This window comes from Homo sapiens, chromosome 7, assembly GCF_000001405.40.
Source record: "Homo sapiens chromosome 7, GRCh38.p14 Primary Assembly".
In the NCBI taxonomy this organism is placed as follows: Eukaryota; Metazoa; Chordata; class Mammalia; order Primates; family Hominidae; genus Homo; species Homo sapiens.
In genome coordinates, this window is record NC_000007.14 from 158,278,404 (window position 1) to 158,302,873 (window position 24,470).

Sequence of the window (24,470 nt, forward strand, 5' to 3'; positions counted from 1 at the left end):
GCGGGAGGCTGCGGGTGAAGGTGGGCGCCTGTAATCCCAGCTACGTGGGAGGCTGCAGCAGGAGAATTGCTCGAACCGGTAGCAGTGAGCTGAGATCGCACCATTTGGGCAACAAACTGAAATTCTCTCTCGAAACCAACAATCAATACAAACCAATAAGCCCAGAACCCACAACTTCCTGATGTAGATGGACATGTTGTGTCCGGAATTGGTGGGTTCTTGGTCTCGCTGACTTCAAGAATGAAGCCGCGGACCCTCGCGGTGAGTGTTACAGTTTTTAAAGATGGTGTGTCCAGAGTTTGTTCCTTCAGGTGTGTCCAGAGTTTCTTTCTTCCGGTGGGTTCATGGTCTCCCTGACTTCAGGAGTGAAGCTGCAGACCTTTGCAGTGGGTGTCACAGCTCATAAACACAGCGCATCCAGAATTGTTCATTCCTCCCAGTGGGTTCGTGGTCTCTATGGCTTCAAGAGTGAAGCTGAAGACCCTCACAGTGAGTGTTACAGCTCATAAAGGTAGCATATCCGGAGTTGTTCATTCCTCGTGGTGGATTTGTGGTCTCACTGGCCTCAGGAGTGAAGCTGCAGACCTTCGAGGTGAGTGTTACAGCTCACAGACGTAGTGAGGACCCAAAGAGTGAGCACCAGCAAAACTTACTGTGAACAGCAAAAAAACAAACCCTCCACACTGTGGAATGGGACCCAACCGGTTTGCTGCTGCTGGCTCTGGCAGCCTGCTTTTATCCCCATATCTGGCCGCACCTACATCCTGCTGATTGGTCCATTTTACAGAGAGTTGATTGGTCCATTTTACAGAGGCTAACTGGTCCGTTTTGACAGAGTGCTGGTTGGTGCATTTACAAACCTTTAGCTAGACACAGAGTGCTGATTTGTGCATTTACAATCCTTTAGCTAGACACAGAGCACTGATGGGTGCATTTACAATCCTTTAGCTAGACAGAAAACTTCTCCAAGTCCCCACCCTCCCAGCAGCCCAGCCAGCTTCACCTCTCACTGGTACTCGCTGCAGGACTTTGTGGCCCCTAGCCCGGGCACTCCAGGCAGCCCAATGGGAGCTCGTCCCAGACAACCAAGAGAAAAAGAGGGGAAGCGAGAAAGAGACAGAGACCCACCATCATGGCCAACGACCCAGGGAAGAGGGAATGGCAGTCCTCTCACGGGATCCAGCCTCCAATCAAGCCCAGCAGGTGCCGGCCAGTCCCACGGAGTGCCAGGCCCGCTAAGCCCGTGCCCACCCGGAACCTGCGCCGGCCCACAAGCCCCGTGTGCAGCCCCGGCTCCCATCCGCGCTTCTCCCTCCACACCTCCCCGCAAGCAGAGGGAGCCGGCTCCGGCCTCAGCAAGCCCCAGAGAGGGGCCCCCACAGTGCAGCAGCGGGCTGAGGGGCTCTTCGAGCCCGGCCAGAGCAGACACCGAGGCAGAGAAGGCGCCCAGAGTGAGCGAGGGCTGCTAGCACGTTATCACCTCTCAATGTGGACTTGACCCCACGGTGTGCCAGGTAAAATAAAGGTCTCCTTAGTTCCGTGAAGACAGTCGAGGTCTGTGCACTTAATCCAGAGCCCCGGACGGCCCCCACGCCCCACCGCTGCCCCCGAACCCACAGAGCCCCGCGGCGGCCCCCACGCCCCACCGCTGCCCCCAAACTGCACCAAGACACAGCAGTTTGCTCTCAAGCAGTTTAAACTCGTCTAATGCTTTAACTGGCCTGTCAAATCATTGTTTCACAGACCGCATAATATGAATTGTGTCCCTTCCATATCTGGAACACCAAATCCTAAATCCACAGCCTTCAAGCACATCTGGTTTTCCCGGGCCCAATCGGAAAGCAGGTCCTCTCCGGCCTGAAGCTGCGAAGAGAGGCAGCAGCCATGAGAAGGTGGCTAACCCCGTCGGGGGCCATGGCTGCCTAGGGGAGGCCGGCAGAGCCTGCCTGGGGGTCGGTAAGGACGCTGGCTTTGGTCTGACACCGGCAGGGAGGGACAGCGACGAGGGCAGGAGCCGCGGCTCTACCTGGGAACGCAGGATCATCTCTACTCTGACGGCTCAGCCTCTGCACACAAACCATCCTTCTGCGTTTAATTGGTCCTCTCCAGGGGATGTTTTTTGAAACTAGGTCTTTGAAGACCTTTCATAGCAGCCCTGAGATACCGGGTGGAGAGGGCAGATGGAGAGAGAACCAGGAGATGAAAGGAGGAGCCGAGAGAGCCTGGGGGAGCCGGACGGGTGCGGCCCGACACTGCGTAGAGACGCGGCCGTGGAGTTTCTCCACCGTCATTAAACCCCTTTTTTGCTGAGGAACGTGTTATCAATTTTAAAATTTTCCCAAATGTTGAACAATGGAAGTGTTGTTTGCAGAGAGAGCTCAACTGTCTAAAGTAGAGAAATAGAAGGTCTCCCGAGACTGAAATGACAAAGATGGAAAGCGGGAGGGGAGGCCTCACGGCAGCTGTGCCCAGAACCAGCACGCTGTGAACAGGCGCCAGGCCCTGCGCCGGCCCACGGCTACACGGTGCTCTGGAAACATAGGCTAGCGAGAGTCTAAAGAGGTGGTGCAGGCTCAAAGCCATGTGCTCGTCATCACAGCTTCCATTTAAATCTTGAGGGCTGGGCGCAGTGGCTCACGCCTCTAATCCCACCACTTTGGGAGGCCGAGTCGGGCAGATCTCTTGAGATCAGGAGTTCAAGACCAGCCTGATCAACATAGTGAACCCCACCTCTACTAAAAATACAAAAGTTAGCCGCGCTTATAATCCCAGCTGCTTGGGAGAGTGAGGCAGGAGAATCACTTGAACCGGGGAGGCAGAGGTTGCAATGAGCTGGGATCATGCCACTGCACTCCAGTCTGGGTGACAGAGCAAGACTCCGTCTCAAAAAATAAAAATGAAAATAAGCAAATACATTTTGTGTATGGTTTAAAAGCATATAAAACAGTAGTAGAGTCATACACATACTCCTAAATAACAAAGGCAAATAGGAATACCAGGAGTGCATGCTTTGTGTGTTTTCATCAAGAACATAGTCACCAAAATCCAAGCGGATGGGCACAGCCATTTGCATGTAACTTTACAGTATAAGAGACATTGTCATATGCCCACAGTCTGCTATGAAGACACAGATCCAGACTGGCTAAGAGCACAGAGGTGCATGGAAATGCTCGGGTGTGTGGTGTGCGTGGTGCCCTGCGCATTTGTGCTGGCTTTGCACCCCCCTCCTGCCACGTCCCGTGCAAACGCTCAGGTGTGTGGCATGCCTGGGGCCCTTTGCATTGGTGCTGGCTTTGCACCCACCTCCTGCCACGCCCCAAACCCCAAGGAGTCCAGGAGCCAGGAGAGCCCAAAATCCCCATCCATGCTCCTAGAAAGGAAGTTTCTTGACAAAGGTCTGAGTCAACCATGGGTAAAGCCAGAATAAACCCTGCTAGTTCTTTTGAGGTGTGAACAGTCTCAGCTACTCTGAGCCCCGCATAACTCACTTTGGTCACCAGAGGAGCAGGATTTACAGGGTCAAAAGCCATTTCTCCTTCCAGAGGCTCCCAGCTCAAAGCCCAGCCATCGTCTCCCAGACATTTTGGGTCGCATGGAAATCTGCCTCTTAAGAGACCTGGCCTCCTGTCTAGGGTTAGAGAACACTGTGTTCCCAGAAGGGACAGTCAGGCCTCAGGATCCTCTCCTGAGAAGCCCTGAACTCAAGTCAAACTGAGCCTGTGTTAACAGGGTCCTTTGCCGCTAAGAACCCAACTGTCTCAGGAGTGGCTCTGCCTTTTTTTTTTTTTTTCCTTTCTATTTTCAGACAAATCGTCACTCAGCATAGTAAACCCAAGATATAAAAACCAACAATTGAGTAACTGGTCTTTTCCGTCTGTCTTGGGAAAGTAGCTTATCAAAAGTAAGATGAAAAAAGAGTATTTTATTGTTAAACTCTATAATGAAGCAACTGTCTTTGACTACACAATGTGGGAACTTGCCAGTGAATGTAGAAGTACTGCGGGGCCATGCGTCAGAGGTGTGTGGGTCTAGGAGACGCAGATCAGGAGTCTGGCCTGGCTCAGATGTCCACAGCCAGGAAGCCGCGGGCAGAGCAGCGGGGTCGAGGCTGCGGCTGAGTTTGTGAGCTGTGGCAGCCATACTTACTCTGCAGGGCATGTTGAGTTCTGAAGGAGACAGCACTGCTGAAGTGAGCACAGCAGCAGGACAGACGGCTGATCCCTCCTTGTGCTCCCACACACAGCAGCGAGACACAAACGGCTCGTCCCTCCTGGTGCTCCACACACAGCAGCCGGACAGACGGCTGATCCCTCCTCGTGCTCCCACATGCAGCAGCCAGACACAGACGGCTCATCCCTCCTCGTGCTCCCACACACAGCAGCCGGACAGACAGCTGATCCCTCCTCGTGCTCCCACACACACAGCAGCCGGACACAGATGGCTTGTCCCTCCCTGTGCTCCCACACACAGCAGCGGGACACAGAGGGCTCATCCCTCCTCATGCTCCCACACAGCAGCGGGATATAGACGGTGGTCCCTCCTCGTGCTCCCACGCAGCAGCAGGACATAGACGGCTCGTCCCTCCTCATGCTCCCACACGCACAGCAGCCGGACACAGATGGCTGATCCCTCCTCGTGCTCCCACATGCAGGGGCCTCAGCTCTCAGGAGGAAAACACTCTTGAGAGAAGAGAACTGAGGAAAGGTAGCGCTGATGTCAGGGGAAGACGCATTCGACAACACGCATGAAAAAAAACACTTCTTGTTACGTTCATGCCATGCTTTTGTATTCGCCACAATAAGAAAACCAAGCAAGTACTTCAGTCAGGCGGCAGCCGTCACAGGTAAACAAACTCCTATGTGGGAAATGAACCGAGGCTGTGAGCCTCAGGCAGCTCCCCAGACCCCCAAGAGGAGAGGGAGCAGTGACCGAGCAGGCCCCGTCTGCAGTTCACACCGTCTGCCATCCGTCCCAGAGCCCAGCCTCTTGTAGCCAAGACGGGGCAGGAGACAGAGCAAAACCACTGAGACCACCACTGAGAGGGTAACCAGGCTTCTCAGTAGAACCAGGGGCTTGCCGCAGGGACGGGAGCTCTGACTGGCCACGTCGTGGAGTCTGCAGCTGCCCATGGTGGAGGGAATGGCATGCAGGTGACAAGGACATAGGGACCTTGCTGTGGCCACCCGCCGGGGTCACAGCATGTCCACGGCACCCTGATGGAAGCTTTAATCATCAACGGTGTTGGCCGCCAATGGCATAATGACCGGACCTCACCCCACCCGCAGCCCTAGTGGACACGCCCATGCAGGTGATCAGCAGTGCCGTGGCAGCCACAGAGACAGGCCACCACCACTCCTCAGGCCACTCAAAGCCACCAGCCCCTCCCTAATGGCCTCCTGAGCACCAGAAATGCAGAGGGGTGACAGCATGTCTCAGAACACACTGTGAGCACAGACCTAGAATCACCACGTCGTTCAGAATCGCCACCTCACAGAGAAGCAAACCCAAAGGCAGCCAGCGTAGGAGCCTTTTCCTCAGGAGGGCTGTGTCCTGCTCCTAAAACATTTCCAGGGTTCGGGCATCAAGATCAGATCACACGTTAATCAATCACACGTTTAAGAACGCCTGAAAGACATGTTCATAGCTATATTCGATGTCGTTGGATTTTCCAACATGGACTGATGCTCTTCAATTCTCTCAAGCGCGTTTACACACACACTTGTTTGCCTGTGTGTTTTTGTGTCCAATGTGTGTCGTGCACAGGTGCAATCCAAGTGTGCACCGGACTCACAAGACTCAGTATTGGCAGCGTCCTACATTTAGAGAGAATCCAGACAAACAGCTGGTGGGCACTGGGCACTGTTGTGTGCCAGGAACTCTCCGAGTCAGCCAGGCACTGGGCACTGTTGTGGGCTGGGCACTCTCCAAGTCAGCCGGGCACTGGGCACTGTGTGTGTGCCAGGCACTCTCCGAGTCAGTGTACATGAATGCACTTGGCCCTCTTGATGCTCTATGAGTAAGTGCTGCTGGGACACACCCATTTCACAGGTACTAAAGCTGAGACAGAGATCCACTCTGCAAACCCTTGCCCAGTGCCACTCTGGTAATAGGAAGAGTGAGAATTTGAGCTCAGGCAGAGCCACTGTCGGTGGTTTTGACAGAAATTATGGACTCTTTCTGAACTTCCTAATGAGAATTTAGGAGGCTCTCAGGTGCCCCTTCCTGTCCCACTCCATAGTTTGGCGTACGGACTCCGCTTATTCCTGACCCTCCCTGCCATCCCACCTCTGTCCCCTCTACCCACACCTCCCGCAGGAAGGCATTCCCACCCAGCTCCTCTGCCCGCATCCAATGGAGTGAGCAGGTGCAGGCGATGAATGTACTATCACCAATAATTTTGGAACTTCTACTACATATGTGTATCTACCACATGCTGCCTGAGCTCGTTGAGCTGGACTTTTAAAGCAGCAGTGCCTCAATATGCCTGGCCTGGCTGGCACACGCCGCCTGCCTAGATTGCATAGGGTGAGCAGTCTGCCTGTGCCCCCACGAGCCCGGCTGTGCCCATATGCTGACGTTATCCTCCACTGGGTACAAAAAGGATGACAGGAACCCTCCTCATCACGCTCGTCATCTCAGTAATTCCCTGGGAGCTTTTGTTTGTTTTTTGTTTTGTTTTTCTCCCTGCATCTGTCTTGCTGTTGCTCTCAGTGGAAAACATACAATATTTCTGACGTGCCCAGGCTTTGGGCCATGCTGCAAATGTATCCTGCCATTGTGAAATGACCTTCACTGCGCTCCTGCCCAGAATGTGTGGGAAGAAAAGGGCACTCGCGGTCCCATGGGCCAAACAAAAGAGTGGTCTGGGGGATCCTGTGCTATGTAGGGACAGGAGAAGGTGCCAGGACTCCTGGTGAACAAGACATTCCAAAGGCCAAGCATTGCTAACTAATGCAAGGCTGCAGGAGAGACCAGCAAATGACAATAGCCACTCTCCTCAGAAGGACAGGGATGTGCCCACGCCGGCTTCAACTCTCCCGCCCAACCCCAGCACAAGCAGAGCTGAGCGCTCAGGTCCTCCTCCATCCATGCTGCTCCTGCAGGCGGGCCCCAGGAGGCTGGACCTGCTCTTGCCTGGGTACAGCAGGCAGCTGAGCCCCCTCCTCTGACACCAGCATCCTGTGTCCCAGCCCTGCCTCCACAGCTTCTCCTCATCAGGCCTGCCATTCCCACACCACAGAGCATGCTGCTGTAAGAGGCCAGGTGTGAAGAGCCCTTATGCTCTCAACCTTGTCTGATCAGGGTGGAATGAGGAGTGGAACAGCGTAGAGCGCGGGCTGTCTATGTCAGCTACACCGGCTAACTCCGGCAAAACCTCAGTCCTTGGGTTAGGGAGACAGGTGACAACCCCATTCGCCTCTGAGCTAGGGAAGTAGAGATGCTCTATACCTGTGTCCACACCCCTCAGAGGACACCAAAGGTTTCACAGAGAGAGCTCCACACACCTCTGAGGTTGGATCCAGCCACACAGAGGTGTCTGCTATGCAGCAAGCTAAACACAACCAATTCCTGGTGTTGGGATTAACAAGCAGCAGGGCAGACCACGAGAATGAACATTTATCAACAGCCATCGGGAAACATGCCCTCCAGCTCTCACATGTTCTCCAGGCTCCCTGGGCAAATGGAGTCCTAAGTATTTTATATTTTTTGAGCTACTATAAATGGGATTATTATCTGATTTCTTTTTCAGACAGTTCATTCTCAGTGTATAAAAATGCTCTTTATTTTTGTCTGTGGATTTTGTATCCTGCAAATTTACTGAATTTATTAGCTCTAACAGTGTTTTTGGTGGCATCTTTAGGATTCTATATGTAAGATCATGTCATCTGCAAACAGGGACAATTTTAACTTCTTTTGTTCCAATTTGGATGCCTTTTGTTTCTTCCTTTTGCCTAATTGCCCTGGCTAGGTTTTGCAATACAGTGTTGAAAGAAGTGGCGAGAGTTAGCATCCTTATCTGGTTCCTGATCTTAGAGGAAAAGCTTTCAGCTTTTCACCATTGCGTATGATGTTATCTGTGAGTTTGTCATATATGGTCTTTATTATGTTGAAGCACATCCCTTCTACAGTATATCTAATTTATTGAGTGTTTTTATTATGAGAGGATGTTGTGTTTTGTTGTATGTTTTTTATACATCTAATGAGATGATATATGGTTTTTATCCTTCCCTCAATGTGGCATATCACATTAATAGAGTTGCATATATTGAACCATCCTTGCATACCAGGGATAAATCCCAGTTGATCGTGGTGAATGATCCTTTTCATGAGCTGTTGAATTCAGTCTGCTGGTATTCTTTCGAGGGTTTTTGCATCTATGTTCATCAGGGATTTTGGCCTGTAATTTTCTTTTCTTATAGTGCCTTTGTCAGCTTTGGTATCACGGTAGTGCTGACCTCGTAAAATGAGTGTGGAAGTATTCCTCTTCTTCAGTTTTTTGGAAGAGTTTGAGAAGGATGAGTATTAGTCCTTCTTTAAATGTTAGGTAAGATCAGCAGTAAAGCCATCAGGTCCTGAACTCTTTTTATGGGAGACTTTTTATTACTAATCAAATCTCCATATTTGTTATTGGTCTGTTCAGATTTTCTGTTTCTCCATAATTTTTCTTGGTAGGTATCATATGCTTAGGGATTTTCCATTTCTTCTGGGTTATCCAATTTTTGGCATATAATTGTTCATAGTCTCATGGTCCCTTACATTTCTGTGGTATTTGTTGTAATGTTTCCTCCTTCATTTCTCATTCCACTTGACTTTTCTCTTTTTTCTTAGTCTAAAGGTTTTCAATTTTGTTTATCATTTCAACAAACAAACTCTTAGTTCCATTGATCTTTTCTATTGTTTTTCTAGTTTCGATGTAATCTCTTTCTGTTCTGATCTTTATTATTTCTTTCCTATTAGATTTAGGCTTAGTTAGTTCTTTTTATAGTACCTTGAGGTGTAATATTAGGTTGTTTATTTGGATTCTTTCTTCTTTTCTGATGTAGGCATTTATCACTATAAACATCCCTCTTAGACCTGCTTCTGCTGCATCCCATAGGTTTTGGTATGCTTTGTTTTTATTTTTATTTATCTCAAGAGATCTTTTAATTCTCTTTTTAATTTCTTCTTTGACATATTGGTGGTTCAGAAGCATGTTGTTCAATTTCCATATATTTGTCAATTTTCTGAAATTCCTCCTGTTATTAATTTCTAGTCTCATACCAGGATGTTCAGAAAAGATGCTTAATGTGATTTGAATCTTCTTAAATTTATTAATGTGTTTTGTGGCATAATGTGATCTATCCTGGAGAATGTTCTCTGTGTTTCAGAAGAATGTGTATTTGCTACCATTATATGGTATATTCTGTATATATCTGTTATGTCCATTTGGTCTAAAAGTATAGTTTAAGACTGATGTTTCCTTATTGATTTTCTGTCTGAATGATCTGTCCATTGCCGAAAGTGGGTATTGAAGTCCCCTACTGCTACATTACAGTCCATCTCTCTTTCTTCAGACATATTAATATTTGCTTTACATACTTAGGTTCTCCAGTTTTTAGCCCATATTTATAATTATTATATCTTCTTGATGAATTGACCCCTTTATCACTGTATAATGACTTTATTTTACAGTTTATGACATGAAGTCTATTTTATTTAAGTATAGCACTTCTACTCTCTTTTGGTCTTCATTTGCATGAAATATCTTTTTCATCCCTTCGCTTTCAGTCTATGTCCTTAAAAGTGAAGGGAATCTCTTGTAGGTAGCATATAGTTGGGTCCTATTTTTCAGCCATTCAGCCACTCTGTCTTTTGATTAGAAAATGTAATCCATTTACATTCACAGTAATTATTGACAGGCAGGGTCTTACTAATGCCATTTTGTTCATTGTTTTCTGGTATTTTCTAAGTCCTTTTTCCTTTCATCCTCTGTGTCTGTCTTCCCTTATGATTGGGTGATTTTCTCTAGTGATATGCTTTGATTCCTTACTTTCTATCTTTGGCATATCTACTAAGGTTTTTGCTTTGTAGTTACCATGAGGCTTACATAAAAATATCTTACAGTTATAGCAAGCTTTTCTAAGTTGGTAACAGCTTAACTTTGATCACATTTTTAAAATCTCTACACATTTACTCCACCCACCCCACGCATAAACTTTAATGTCACAATTCATATCTTTTTGTTGTAGCTATTATTTAAGAAATTTCATAGCTATCACTGTGATAGTTTTCTCTTTTTACCTTCATGCTAAAGACTTAAGTGATTTGTACACCACCATTACAGTATTATTCTGAATTTGACTGTATACTTATTTTTATCAGTGAGTTCTATACTTTTGTATGTTTTCATGTTGCTAGTTAGCATTCTTTTCTTTCAGCTTGAAGAACTCTCTTTAGAATTTCTTGTAGGACAGCTCTGGTGGTGATTAATCCCTCAGCTTTTGGTTGGCTAGGAAGGTCTTTTCCTCTCCTTCATTTCTGAAGAACAGCTTTGCCAAGTACAGTATTCTTGGTTGGCCATTTTTTTCCTTCAGCACCTTGAATATATCATTCTACTCTCTCTTGCCTATAGGGTTTCTGCTGAGAAGTCTGCTATAAACCTTCCTGTAACTCCTTTATATGTGATTTGCTTCTTTTCTCTCACTGCTTTTAAGATCCTCTTTGTCTTTGATTTTTGACAGTTTGATTATAATATATCTCAGTATAGTCTTATTTGGATTCAATCTAATCGGAGACTTTTGATCTTCCTGTACCTAGATATTTATATATTTCCCCAGAATTGGAATGTTTTCTCATATTATTTAAATATGCTTTCAGTCCCTTGGTCTCTCTTCTCCTTCTTGAATACCTGTAACTCAAATATTTGATCTTTTGGTGTTATCTCACAAATCCCATAAGCTTTCTTCATTCCCGTTTACTCTTTTTCTCCTCTGACTGTATGTTTTCAAATAACCTGTCTTTAAGTTCACGGATTCTGTTTCATCAATTCTGCAGTTGACACTCTCTACTGCATTTTTCATTTCATTTATTGTGTTTTCCACATCCAGAGTTTCTAGAATTTTTAAAAAATAATTTATACCTCTCTGTGGAATTTCTAATTGCAGTCATTTACTGTTTTCCTGATTTTATTGAATTGTTTTTCTATATTTTCTTGAAGTTCATGAACTTCCTTCAAACACTTACTTTGAATTATCGGGCCATTTGTTTATCTCCATTTCTTTGGAGTCTGCTGCTGGGAGATTATTGTGGTTTTTGGTGGTGTTGTGTCTCCTTGGTTTTTCATGTTTGTTGTTGTTGTTGTTGTTGTTGCCTTACGTTGATGTCTGCACATTTTGGGAAGTAGGGACTTATTCTATTCTTTGTAGAATGGCTTCGCCTGGGTAAGCCCTTCATCAATAAGCCCATGCAGATTCTGGGCGTCATCTGGCATGCTCCATAGGTAGGCTTGCTATTGGGGTCCTCACGCAGGCTGGTCCAATGCCTGGGTTAGCAGGTGAGTGAGCCTTGGCCTGGATCCACTGGAGTGGACCTGTTGATTGAGTCTGCAAGGGTGAACTTAGAGCCTGGCATCCGTTAAGGCAGGACTGGTGCTAGGGTAGGCCATATACCTGAGTCTGAAGGGGCTGTCCTGGGGCTAAGGTGGGCCCAGAGCTTGAATTTGTGGGGGTGAGCCTGGGTCCTGGATCCACAAGGGTTGGCCTGGAGCCTAAGTCTGCAGAAGTGGTCTTGGAGCCTCTGTCCAAAGGGGCTGGCTGGCACCAGGGGTCTATTGGAGTGGGCCTGGACTCTGAGTTCTGGAGCCTGGAGCACTGGGGACCAGCCTGGATCCTGAGTCCACAGGGACACTCCTGGAGCCCAGGTCAGTGAGGGCTGGTTCAGTGCTGGGGCCTACCAGGATAGGCCTGGGTCCTGTCTGCTAACCATGGAGCTGCAGGGCCAGCCTGGTGCCAGAGATGATGTGGAGCCTGAGGCCAATGGGGTCAACCTGTATGCGGAGTGGGCCCAGAGACTAAGTCCACTGGGCAGGTGTGGGGCCTGGGCCTGCATGATCCTACCTGGTATTGGGGCAGGCCTGAAGCCTCCGTCCTTGGGTACCAGCCTGGAGTAGGAAGCTATGGGGGCATGTCTGGTGCTGGGTTTAACTTGGTTGGTGGGGGATCAGGAGGCAGTTTTAGAGTTAGAAGCAAAGTCTGGTACTCACTTCTCTTTCCTTCCCCCACATAGAGGGCATCTCTCACCACAACATGCTGCTAGGCCTGGGTGAGAGGGGACCCAGTCATGCAAAACTGTTTTTTCTGCCTTTTCAGTGCATCTTATTTCTGTGCCATGCCCAGGTGCTATCACCTCTCACCTGGTTTCCTTAGCACTTGTGAAGGTATTTTTGCACACAGATAGATGTTCAAATTGTTGTTTCTGTGATGGATGAGCAATGGAGAGTCCTCTCCTGCTGCCTTGCTGATGTCCATCTCTGACGAATGTTGACTATGTGACTCTCTTTAAAATATTCAGGGAAAGGAGCATCTGATTCTTTAAGAAGTCAGCAGATAAAATGTGGATGCTCTTTGACAGAGGAGGAGGAGGTCTGCTGAGCCAAGAGCAGGATGCAGAGATGGGGCATTTCTGCTCTGGGGTGGGGAGTTGAGAACCTCATGGCAGGAGGAGTTTCCAAGGCTTGCCTTCATTCCACCCCACTTGGTGATGATGTAACAGCTTCCATTTGTGTTTCACAGTTTTCAAAATGTACTCACCAGGATCAACCCACTTGGTCTTCATGACTCTTTTGATGTGGATCTAGCTGTGTTGCTTTGTATTATTCAAGATGTCTAATCATTTTCACACTTGAGGGTTCTAGGGATTTTTCTGATACTATCCACTCTTCCCTTGATATACAAAGTCATATGATACAGAATCACACATATTTGTTGATCTGGAGAAACAATAGGGATATGAGGATATCATTTATTGGAATTTATATTTTGTTTGGGTTTTTTTAGTCTAAGCTCTAGGAGCTTCCCCTCCCCCAATTGTTATAAATTAACTAGATTTTGGTTGATTTCTAATGTTTTCCAAAAAGTGTTTATTCATTGGTTTTTGTCTTTAAAGTTAAGATTCACTGGGTAAAGTAAAATAGAGTTCTGTGGCAAGAAACAACCCTGACAGATGAAACTGACCCTGGACAGTGCTGCTGTCTTTGGTTGTCTGACTTATTACTTCTGATTTGTAATAATTTCTGAGGCTGAATACAGTGTTAAATGAAATTCCCTGTCTGCACCAATGTTCCTGCACTTTGTAACTCGATTCTTGACTTCAAATAAAAGTGACTTCTTCATATAGCTTTGCCATTTACTCTTAGAGCCAGCTAACACTACCAGAACCCTAACAAAATCACAAGAAAGTTTAACTCAAGAAGAGAGAGATGAAAGAGGGAGAGAAAGAAGAGGGGAGTGTAAAAGCCATTTCCAAAACAAGAGGCCCAGACATCAATTTGTAATTATCTGCCCACATGAGTCTAAAGGCTTTTATTTGATAAGGCCAGTAATACACAAGCCTGTAATGTGAATTATTTCAAAGAATAAAAGCCTGATTGTCTCCATGACCTGTCTAGCTTTTAGTGAGGCTTAAGACAAGATTACATTCCATACAGCCCGCAAATGGATCCCTCCTCTCCCCACCTTCCTGCTTCTTTCAGAAATGCCAGGGTTTTCTGTGCTGCCATCTGGTAAGCTTCCAGTTCCGATAGGTCTCAATTTCCTCCTCTGTTGAGACATCTAATTCTCCTGAGGGTGACGGTTCTTCCTTGTCTGAAATGAAGCTTCTATTAAACAAAGACTGCCCCTATTCCAGGATGTTCAAAAGCAGATGGAGCCCGCCTCCTGGTGAGGCTTTTCCATTAACACTAAAGAATGCCCTAAATCAAGCTTTTCAGTTTTAAATAGGGATGAAGTCTAACTGACCTCATACTTTAAAATTAAAAGGTAAAAACTGTGGGTTGCATCAGAAAAGAAAATGCAAGCTTTTAAAGCATTCACAGGTAAGCCATGTAGTTTTAATCCTAAGAGTAGTACAGTTGCATTGCTTAATGGTAGGGGTACATTCTGAGTAATTCCTCATTAGGTGATCCTGTCACTGTGCAAACATCACGGGTGCACTTACGCACCCCCAGATGGGACAGCCCGCCACACACCTGGGCTGGATGGTAAAGCCCATTGTGCCTAGGCTACAAATCTGTCCTACAAGTTACTGTGCTGAATGCTACAGGCAATTGTAACACAAGGTTAAGTATCTGTGTATCATCTATACATTAAAAGGTGCAGTAAAAATATGGTATAAAAGATAAAAATGGGCCGGGCATGGTGGCTCACGCCTGTAATCCCAGCACTTTGGGAGGTCAAGGTGGGTGGATCAGTTGAGGTCAGGAGTTTGAGTTCAGCCTGGCCAACATGGTGAAACCCTGTCTCTACTAAAAATACAAAAATTAGCCTGGCGAGGCAGCAGGCACCTGTAATCCCAGCTACTAGGGAGGCTGAGTCAGGAGAATCACTTGAACCACGGAGGCAGAGGTTGCAGTGAGTCAAGATCACGTCACTGCACTCCAGCCTGGGCAACAGAGTGACATTCAGTCTAAAAAAGAAGATTAAAATGGTGCAGCTATATAGAGCACTGACCATGAATGGAGCCTGCAGGACTGAAATTTGCTCTGAGTGCATCAGTGAGGGTGGGGTGGGTGAGTGTGAAGGCCGAGGACATTACTGTACACCACTCTAGACTATCAACACTGTATACTTAGGCTACACTAAATTTATAAAAATGTTTTTTCTTCAATAATAAATTACCTTTAAATAGTAACTTTGGGCTGGGCACGGTGACTCACGCCTATAATCCCAGCAGTTTGGGAAGCTGAGACAGGTGATCACCTGAAGTCAGGAATTCAAGACCAGCCTGGCCAACATGGTTAAACCCCGTCTCTACTAAAAATACAAAAATTAGCCAGGTGTGGTAGTGTGCACATGTAATCCCAGGTACTCGGGAGGCTGAGGCAGGAGAATCGTTCAAACCTAGGAGGCAGAGGTTGCAGTGAGCTGAGATCGCACCACTGTTCTCCAGCCTAGGTGACAGAGCAAGACTCTGTCTCGAAAAAAAAAAATAGTAACTTGTGTACTTTATAAATGTTTTAACTACTTTTAACTTTTTCTTATAACACTTAGCTTAAAACAAACACATAGTACAGCAGTATAAAAATAGTCTCTTTATATCCTTATTCTATAAGCTTTTTCCTATTTACACTTTTCTTCCACTTTTAAAACTTTTTTGTTAAAAAAAAAAAAACTAAGACACAAACACACACCCTAGCCTAGGCCTACACAGGGCAGGCTCATCAATATCACTGTCTTCCACCTCCACATCTTGTCCCACAGGAAGGTCTTCAGGGGCAATAGCACATGTGGGGCCATCATCTCCTATGAGAAGAATGCCTTCTGCCGGCATATCTCCTGAAGGACCTGCCTGAGTCTGTGTGAGTGTTAGTTTTGCTTTTTAATAAGTAAAAAGAGTGCATTCTAAAATAATGATAAAAGTACAGCAAATACACATGTACCGTGCACAGCTAGACTAGACTTTCATACAAGTGGGAGTGCAGTTGGCTCGTCTACACCAGCATCACCACAAACATGTAATTCACTGCACTGTGACATCATGAGGGCCACAAGGTCAGTCGGTGACAGGGGTTTTCAGCTCCACTACAACCATATGGGACCACCATCATGTACGCGATCTGCTGCTGGTGGAAACATTGTTATGTTGTGCTTGCTGTTTACAGTTTCTCAACATCACTTGAACCTACAAGAATATCTAAGGACCTTCTGAGACACAAAAGCTTGATTCTCAAATACATAAAAATAAGAAGGATTTTTGTTTTCCCCCAAAGTGATGAAATTACATGAGAGTTTGTTGTTTTCATGTCTGGCTCCCATATTTTTTGTAAGTTTTTCATGTAAATTAAAGGTTTACTCTGGCGTCAACTATTCCCTCCTGGCCTGGAATCACAGACGTTCCATTTCTTCCATCTACTCATTTGGGAATAAGTCACGTAATTCCCGGCCCTCAGCTCCTCAACTGATATCCCTGAGCAACAGCATCAGACATGCGTGTGCCTCTGACACAGGAGGATGCGAGAGGCAGGGCTGAGCCAGGCCAGGCAGGAGCAAGCGGGGAGGGAGGAGTGTTCCCGGGGGAGAGTGAGAGGCAGGAAAGACATCCAGCCACAAGGAGACCTGGGAGCACGGGTCGCCCAGAATTCAGTGTGCTTCTATTTCCACGCTCATGGTTCACCCACCTTTCTGAGGGTCCAAGCCCACGGCACCCGCTGACCCTGCCTGTCTGCCCAGACACTGCACCACATCGTGGTTCACCTGCCTTTCTGAGGGTCTAAGCCCATGGGGCCCGCTGACCCTGCCTGTCTGCCCAGACACTGCGCCACTTTCCACGCGCGTGGTTCACCCACCTTTCTGAGGGTCCAAGCCCACGGCGCCCGCTGACCCTGCCTGTCTGCCCAGACACTGCACCACCTTCCACGCGCATGGTTCACCCACCTTTCTGAGGGTCCAAGCCCATGGCGCCCGCTGACCCTGCCTGTCTGCCCAGACATTGCACCACATCATGGTTCACCCGCCTTTCCGAGGGTCAGAGCCCATGGCACCCGCTGACCCTGCCTGTCTGCCCAGACACTGCACCACATCGTGGTTCACCTGCCTTTCTGAGGGTCTAAGCCCATGGGGCCCGCTGACCCTGCCTGTCTGCCCAGACACTGCGCCACTTTCCACGCGCATGGTTCACCCACCTTTCTGAGGGTCCAAGCCCACGGCACCCGCTGACCCTGCCTGTCTGCCCAGACACTGAACCACATTGTGGTTCACCCGCCTTTCTGAGGGTCTAGGCCCATGGGGCCCGCTGACCCTGCCTGCCTGCCCAGACACTGCACCACTCTCCATGCGCGTGGTTCACCCACCTTTCCGAGGGTCTAAGCCCATGGAGCCCGCTGACCCTGCCTGTCTGCCCAGACACTGCACCACTCTCCATGCGCGTGGTTCACCCACCTTTCCGAGGGTCTAAGCCCATGGAGCTCGCTGACCCTGCCTGTCTGCCCAGACACTGCACCACTCTCCATGTGCGTGGTTCACCCATCTTTATGAGGGTCTAAGCCCATGGGGCCCGCTGACCCTGCCTGTCTGCCCAGACACTGCACCACATCGTGGTTCACCTGCCTTTCTGAGGGTCTAAGCCCACGGTGCCTGCTGACCCTGCCTGTCTGCCCAAACACTGCACCACTCTCCATCCGCACGGTTCACCCGCCTTTCTGAGGGTCCAAGCCCACGGCGCCCGCTGACCCTGCCTGTCTGCCCAGATGCTGCCCCACATCTCCATAGCACCCAGTTGTGCACTAGCAGCTGAGGTGAGCTGTCGAATCCTCATTTTCTCACTTTTCATTTTCACATCATCAGGCACCTTGTCTGAGATGGTTGCTTAGTTAAATAAACAGAAAGATGAGTTTGGATTGCTTCTGATATGGGAGATGGGCAGGGAAGTGCTGGGTGGAGAAGGGCGGGTCTCTGGCAAGGGCTCTACCCCTGGACCTTTCCCATGGGCCTAGGCGAGGACAGGCATTTTTGTTTTTGTGCCCAAATGTTGCATTTCCCAAGACCACCCTGGTCCACCATGCCTCTATCCTGTGCCTATAAAAACCCTGAGACCCTAGCAGGCAGAGACACAAGCAGCTCCCCAAGACCCTAGTGGGCAAAGACACAAGGGCTGGATGTCAAGAGGAGCACACCGGCAGAAGAACTCACTGACAGGCACCAGCAGACTAGGTAGTTGGAGGAGAGCCTGGCTGCTGAGCGGCCCGACTCCAGGGGAAAACTGCCTTCCCAGTCCATCTCCCTCTGGCTCCTGCTGAGAGTTACTTCCACTCTATAAAACCTTGCGCTCATTCTCCAAGCCCATGTGCGATCTGATTCTTCCAGTACACCAAGGCAAGAAACTCCAGGACACAGAAAGCCCCCTGTCCTTGCAATAAGGCAGAGGGTCTAATTGAGCTGGTTAACACAAGCCGCCCACAGACGGCGAAACTAAAAAAGCACCCTGTAACACACGCCCACTGGGGCTTTAGGAGCTGTAAGCATTCACCCCTAGACACGGCCGTGGGGTCTGAGCCCACAGCCTGCCCGTCTGTATGCTCCCCTGCAGGTGGGAGCAGTGGGGCACTGAAGAAGCAACCCACTCCTCCATCGCACGCCCTGTGAGGGGAATAAGGGAACTTTTCCTGTTTCACTTCATCTCAACCCTCCTGACCCACTCTCTTCTGGGTGGCAGTTGGCCTTTCTGAGGCAGCAGATGGAGCCAAGCATGTAGGCTGTGGTCACAGAGGCACATGGCCACCTGGCCCACAGGAAGACCATGGGAAGACCACAGGTGGACACGCCCGGCACTCAGGGAACTCTAAGGGAGGTGGAGCTTGGGTGGTGGAGCAGTTGGGGTGGTGGGGCAGGAGAGACCAGCAGATGTGGCCGGGGGCAACATTTGGAATGTCCATGGATAGCATTCCATCCAAACACAAACGTGCGCCTTACTAGTTCCTCTGCTTCTGAAGCGGTAACGGTGAAAATCCTGGGAGCTCTCAGGATCCAGTCCCGGAGGGACCAGCACAGCACATATACAGCTTCTGCCAATGGCTGGGCATAAGCTTTTAAAAACTGATCATGTTTCCTAGCTACAGAATGACTTTCTCTTCATTTCAGATTGATCATCATTCAGAGAGAGCTGCTAACTCTCTGGCTTTCAGCCGTTCTGTCCTGGTGTTAACAATCTGGGAACCTATTCTGAAATGTACCAGAGAAACTCTCTGTTCAAAGGGATCTGCCAGAAACCCTTTGGGAAGGGAAGACGCCCCTGGAGCCACAGTGATGACACTGCAAAGTCCGTTCATTTGTGATACGGTATCTCCTTGTGGTTCAGCAACCCTCAGCCCATGACCTGGTGAGCTTGACTTGAGGCTTCATTCTTCATCAGACACAGAAGCATCTTGTCTTGGGAAGGGTCTTCACGTACAGCCCTCATTTCTCCTTTGACTACAAAACCCAGCAGTAAGGAGGGGTCTTTCAGAGTCATTAAGGACAGGTCCCAAAGAAATATGGACTTAGTAAAAAATATAATCAGGTTTCTTGTAAAACAGAGAATGGCCAATGTTTAGAGGTTAAGAGTGCTACAGGTGCACACCACACGTGCCTATGTTTAAAATAACTAACCCCCATCCTACCTAACCACATACCCCAGTTATGCTGTTCCCTCACCTCTCCACATATATTTTGGAGAATATCACAATAGGATGGTTTGTGGACAGAATGAATTTCCTATTGTGAATGTGGACTACTCTTACTGAAGTTACAAAACAAGTTGACTGAAAATTTAAGGAATGCATGTTTTAATGAATATAGACTAACTCAAGTTTTCTTTACTTTTTGAGTCACTTTTATCAACTTACAGGTTTTTTTTCTAATTGCCTTTTCAAATTTCTTAGAACAAAGTCATTAGTAGTGTTTTCCTACGATTCTTGAATTCAATTTACCTATGGTGGAATTCCCTTTTTCCTCTCATTAATTGTGTACTTATGCCCTTTTTTGTCATTGTCGGTAAAAAGAGCTCTGTAAGTCTTTTCAAAGACCCAGAGATATTTCTGCTGTTTGTGTTCTTGATGCTTGCCCTCATTTCTTCGTACCTATTTCAGTATTTTCTGCTCTTGTCTTCATTATTTTCTTCTTTTTAATGTCTTTTGCTTGCTTTGTTCGTCCTTTTATTCTTATTATGAAACGTTTCAGGCACACAAAAAGGAATAAAATAATATGACACAGGTTGAATATCCCTCATCTGAAATGTTTGGGACTAGAAGTGCTTTGGATTTCAGATATGTTTGGATTTATTCTGGAATATTTGCATGTACATAATGAAATATCTTGGGGACAGGACCCAAGTCGAAACATGAAATTACTTGTGTTTCCTTATACCTTATATAGAAGGCCTGAAGGTAATGTTATGTAATTTTTAATAATTTTGTGCACATAACAAAGTTTATGTGCCGTGAATCTGGAAGAAAAGAATGAAGAGCTTGCGGGGGAGGCCACCTCTGAAGGAATGGCCGAGAAACTTCCCAAGTGAAAAAGCTGTGAGGCTTCAGATTGGAGGAGGGCGCAAGGGCCCAGCAGGATGTGCCAAAGTTGTGCTCGGGCACATCAGGAGGAAATCAGGCCCCACAATGTCACCTCCAAGCACCTCCTGGGGTTGCCTGTCCTCTCTCCTCTTCCTGCTGAGCCCCTGGGTCCAAGGACCTCCCACCTTCAAAAAAGTAAAAACAGCACAGCCCAGACCCAGGGGTAAAATTCATGTCATCACTTCTTCCTGGGCCAGCACCCAAATACCTCCTGAGCCACAGGAACACGATGCCTCTGTGGCCCTGACAGCCACTGCCGATTGTCCTGGGAGGGGCCTTCAGGGAACCGCACAGGAAGGAGGGTGCAGCTCAGCCCGTTTTCAAATCCAGCAGGATGTTCATGACCTCCCTGCAGACACTAATGGACAGAACGTCACAGCAGTCTGGTGAGCGATGATGTCAGTGCATTATTAAATTCAAACTGGAGGGGAAGTTTTGACACTAATCAATGCTTTTTATCCCACCCAAGACTGGCATATTCCCGAGACAAATCTCAGTGGTTACTGAATAGCTTGCAGACCTGGGCTGCCCTGGGGAAACTGCCATGCAAGTCTGTCCTTCCCACCTTTCTGCAGATGCACGCAGGGCTCTCAGGAAGCAATTTTTTTTTTTTTTTGAGATGGAGTCTCACTCTGTTGCCCAGGCTGGAGTGCAATGGCATGGTCTTGGCTCACTGCAACCTCTGCCTCCCAGGTTCAAGCAATTCTCCTGCCTCAGCCTCAGGAGTAGCTGGGACTACAGGTGCATGCCACCACATCCGGCTAATTTTTGTATTTTTAGTAGAGATGGGGTTTCACCATGTTGGCCAGGCTGGTCGTAAACTCCTGACCTCTTGATCCGCTGGCCTCAGCCTCCCAGAGTGCTGGGATTACATGTGTGAGCCACCACGCCTGACCAGGAAGCAATTTTTTTTAGCTCATTAACATGGCAAAGACAGATAGCCAGGGCCTTCTGAGAGCTGTAAATGAGCTTCTCACCTCTCTGACAGTTTTCAGCAGACATGGATTCCTCAGTCCTAGAGCTGCTGGCTGCATTCATCCTTCACTGCCACAGAGCTCCCTCACCTCCCTCAGGAAGTGGCAGAGCAGTTGGCGGTTCCCAGGCCCCCCAGGGAAGCCCTGGCAGGTGCTTGCTGGGGTTGGGTCTTTACCCCAGAACCCAGCAAAATGAGCACCTTGGTCTGGGAGGAGAACGTCCCTGAAAGGCCCTTGGACAGTATTAGCAGCTCAGGGGCAGGTTCTGGAAAGGCCTTTTCCGGTTAACACCACTGAATGGTTCATGGGGTCAGAGCAGGCAAAACGAGCACCATTTCCTCCCAAGAAACACATTTTTCCCACTGTCTGACAGTTGAAAATATTTGTTTACTTTGTAGAAACCTAGGATGTTTTGGCAGCAAGCAATTTATGTCACTTTGAACCACAGAGAATGCCTCTGAAATGATGATATGGGTCAATGAAGAAGCAAAGTTTCTTAACTGAAGTCCATTTCATAGAAACAAATGCGGAAATGATTGTAATTATGAGGGATGGGCCCACTGTGGCATTTCCCAATGGTGACAGTCAGGCTCTACCCCTAGCCCTTGGAGTCAAGGCCATAAAGCAAACGGCCAAAGGTCCCCTCGTATCGTCTGATCCGACGGCTAGGGTTGGAAGGTGGGCAGCCTCACGGGAGCATGGACCTAGGTAGTCGCCAGGGGCCTGTGTGCAGAAAAATTTCTCATTTGCTTTGACACGCTGCTGTTGCTGTCTTGAAATTCTCAAAGATTTTATCTCCCAACCTATATTTTGTGTGAGACATCCCATGAGGCGACGTGGTGCGCGCACCTGCAGAGAAGACACCCCAATCTGCACGCCCACAGCGCCTCGCCCGCCACCCAGTCCCGCAGCGCCTCGCCCCCCACGTGTCTGTCTGTGCTCATGTGGCCCTAAGAGGCCACTCCTCTGCTTACCCAGAGCTTGCTGCAAACCACAAAGTGCAACAGTGTTCTAAGAAACACAAACGACCAAGGGTCCCACCCTCTCTCCCACTCACATTGCTTTCCCACATAAGCCACCATTTATGCTGAACGTGGCCGTGTGGAGGGAGGGGAGGTGGGCAGCCCACAGTCCTTCTCATGTGTGAGCAAAGGTGGAGAATCTCGGTGGACAGGGGCTGTTTCATGAAGGGAAATAAACACAGCCGAGTGAGTTTCACACAGCATTTCCACCGCTGTAATGAGAATGAAATACATATGCATGTTTGAGCTGTGACAGATGAACTATGTAGTTGTTCAGATTCTGCATGTGAATTAAATGTTCTTTCATTTGCATTTGAAACCAGCAACGCACGATATACAGATGAATGGTAACCTTCATGTTAATAATTCAAAAATCTTAATGTTTTTAGAATGATGCTGAATAGCAAATAAAAATCCCATGACAAGTCAAGACGGAGATTGTGAAAGGAAACATCTTATACTATAACTAGTTCCTTTAGGGGCACTTTTCCTTGATTTCTGAACTAAGGACCTGTATTTGCACTTTGCACGGGCCGTGCAAATTAAACAGACAGCATTGCAGGGCATGAACACAGACGAACCACGACCAACTCAGCTGTCCCGAGGCTCTGTGTTAACGGCTCCTGACACACTCCCCTCCTCCCTGTTCTGATCTGTTTGCATTAATATGCGCTCAATTGTAAGAAGCTGAACAGATGTATTTATTCAGAATTCCCAAGCAGCTAACTAGAACTCCCAATTCTGAGTCATCGTCTTAGCTCCCGAGGTGCTTAGCAGAATGCTCTGTATTTATCAGCTTCCCGGTTAACCTACACACCACTCCCCAGCTCTTGCTGGTTTGAGTTATGTGAACCTTCAACATCATTAGGGAAGCTTCTACCACACTTAGTACTGATAAGCAAAGTGCATTCACACTTCCTGAGGATTTAATGAGTGGCACCATCTAAATTAATCTTAAGAACAATCCCATTTGCTGGGCGTGGTGGCCCATTCCTATAATCCCAGAACTTTGGGAGGCCAAGGCAGGTGCATTGCTTGAGCCCAGGAGTTTGAGACCAGCCTGGGCAACATGGCAAAACCCCATCTCTGCCAAAAAATACGAAAATTAGCTGGGCATGGTGGTTTGCACCTGTAGTTTCAACTACTTGGGAGGCTGAGGTGGGAGGATCACTTGAGTCCAGGAGGCAGAGGTTGCAGTAAGCCGAGATTGTGCCGCTGTATTCCAGCCTGGGCAATAGAGTAAGAGCCTGTCTCAAAAAAAGCAATCCCCTGTCCCATGAGATGGTATGACCTCCTCCAATCTAGGAAGCTATTGATTGCAAGACAGACCATTACTCTAGTACTGCTAAGGAAAAACAAACCCGCTGGCAGTTAAACTATGATGTGCTATTTATAAAAGATGCCTCCTAATTTCAGTGATGGGAAAACAATACACACCTGAGAAATGATGACATTCAGGGTGGTGGGTACTGTGACAGCCACACTGCTGCTTCCTGGGGACTCTGCATCCTCTCCCCAGACACCAGCTGTTGAGGGCTAGGGGTTAGCCGCTGAATCCCTCCCCATCACCACCTGAGCCCAAGGGAACAGCCACTCCCTAAGTTACAGTCTCTTGCTCCCTGGAGGTGAACCACCATCAGTGATCCCTCATGTGGGACACAAAGGCCTAGCCCCCAGCCTTGGTTGGGTCAACCCTGAAGGGGAACCCCAGCTCCGGCTGCAGAGCACCTCACAGGATCAGCTCGGTCCTCTTAAACTGCATTCCAGCTCACCTTCTCCCTCTGCCCAATTCAGCTTCCCTCACCTGTACGGGGGTTACCCCAGATCACCCCCAGTCACCGACTGCATGCAAATCTCTGTCTCAGAGTTTGGTCCCAGCACATTCAACCTAGGGCATGTAGGACCACCCTCGTTTCACGATAAACAACCAAAACAGGGCAGTTACGTGATGTGCGTAAGATGGCACGACTCACACGTGCCGCAGCTGGAACTTAAACTCCATCCGGACTCCAAGGCCACCCTGTTGTCTCTCCACAATCAATGCTCAGAGCACAGCCTGCAACTGTAAGAGGCCCCTAAGCTCTTTCAAGTGGTCCATGAGGCCAAAACTATTTTCATAAAATACTAAGACATACTTTGCCTTTCTCACGTGTACTCTTTTATGAGAGAACTTGGAAC

At 48.1% G+C, this 24,470-nt stretch overlaps 1 protein-coding gene across 14 annotated transcripts in view, besides 2 other annotated features; it reads right to left on the reverse strand.

Moving 5' to 3' along the window:
* The window catches only part of PTPRN2 (protein tyrosine phosphatase receptor type N2), a 1,048,768-nt gene that overhangs the window by 739,348 nt on the left and 284,950 nt on the right, over positions 1-24,470 (reverse strand). The gene's annotated exons all lie outside the window — the stretch shown is intronic.
* Positions 2,769-3,511: an enhancer, noted in NCBI's record as "H3K4me1 hESC enhancer chr7:158073864-158074606 (GRCh37/hg19 assembly coordinates)". NCBI's record gives its function as "activates a minimal SCP1, AML or CMV promoter by ChIP-STARR-seq in naive H9 embryonic stem cells {active_cell/tissue: H9 hESC(naive)}" and the evidence as "EXISTENCE:reporter gene assay evidence [ECO:0000049][PMID:30033119]".
* Positions 4,255-4,997: an enhancer, noted in NCBI's record as "H3K27ac-H3K4me1 hESC enhancer chr7:158075350-158076092 (GRCh37/hg19 assembly coordinates)". NCBI's record gives its function as "activates a minimal SCP1, AML or CMV promoter by ChIP-STARR-seq in primed H9 embryonic stem cells {active_cell/tissue: H9 hESC(primed)}" and the evidence as "EXISTENCE:reporter gene assay evidence [ECO:0000049][PMID:30033119]".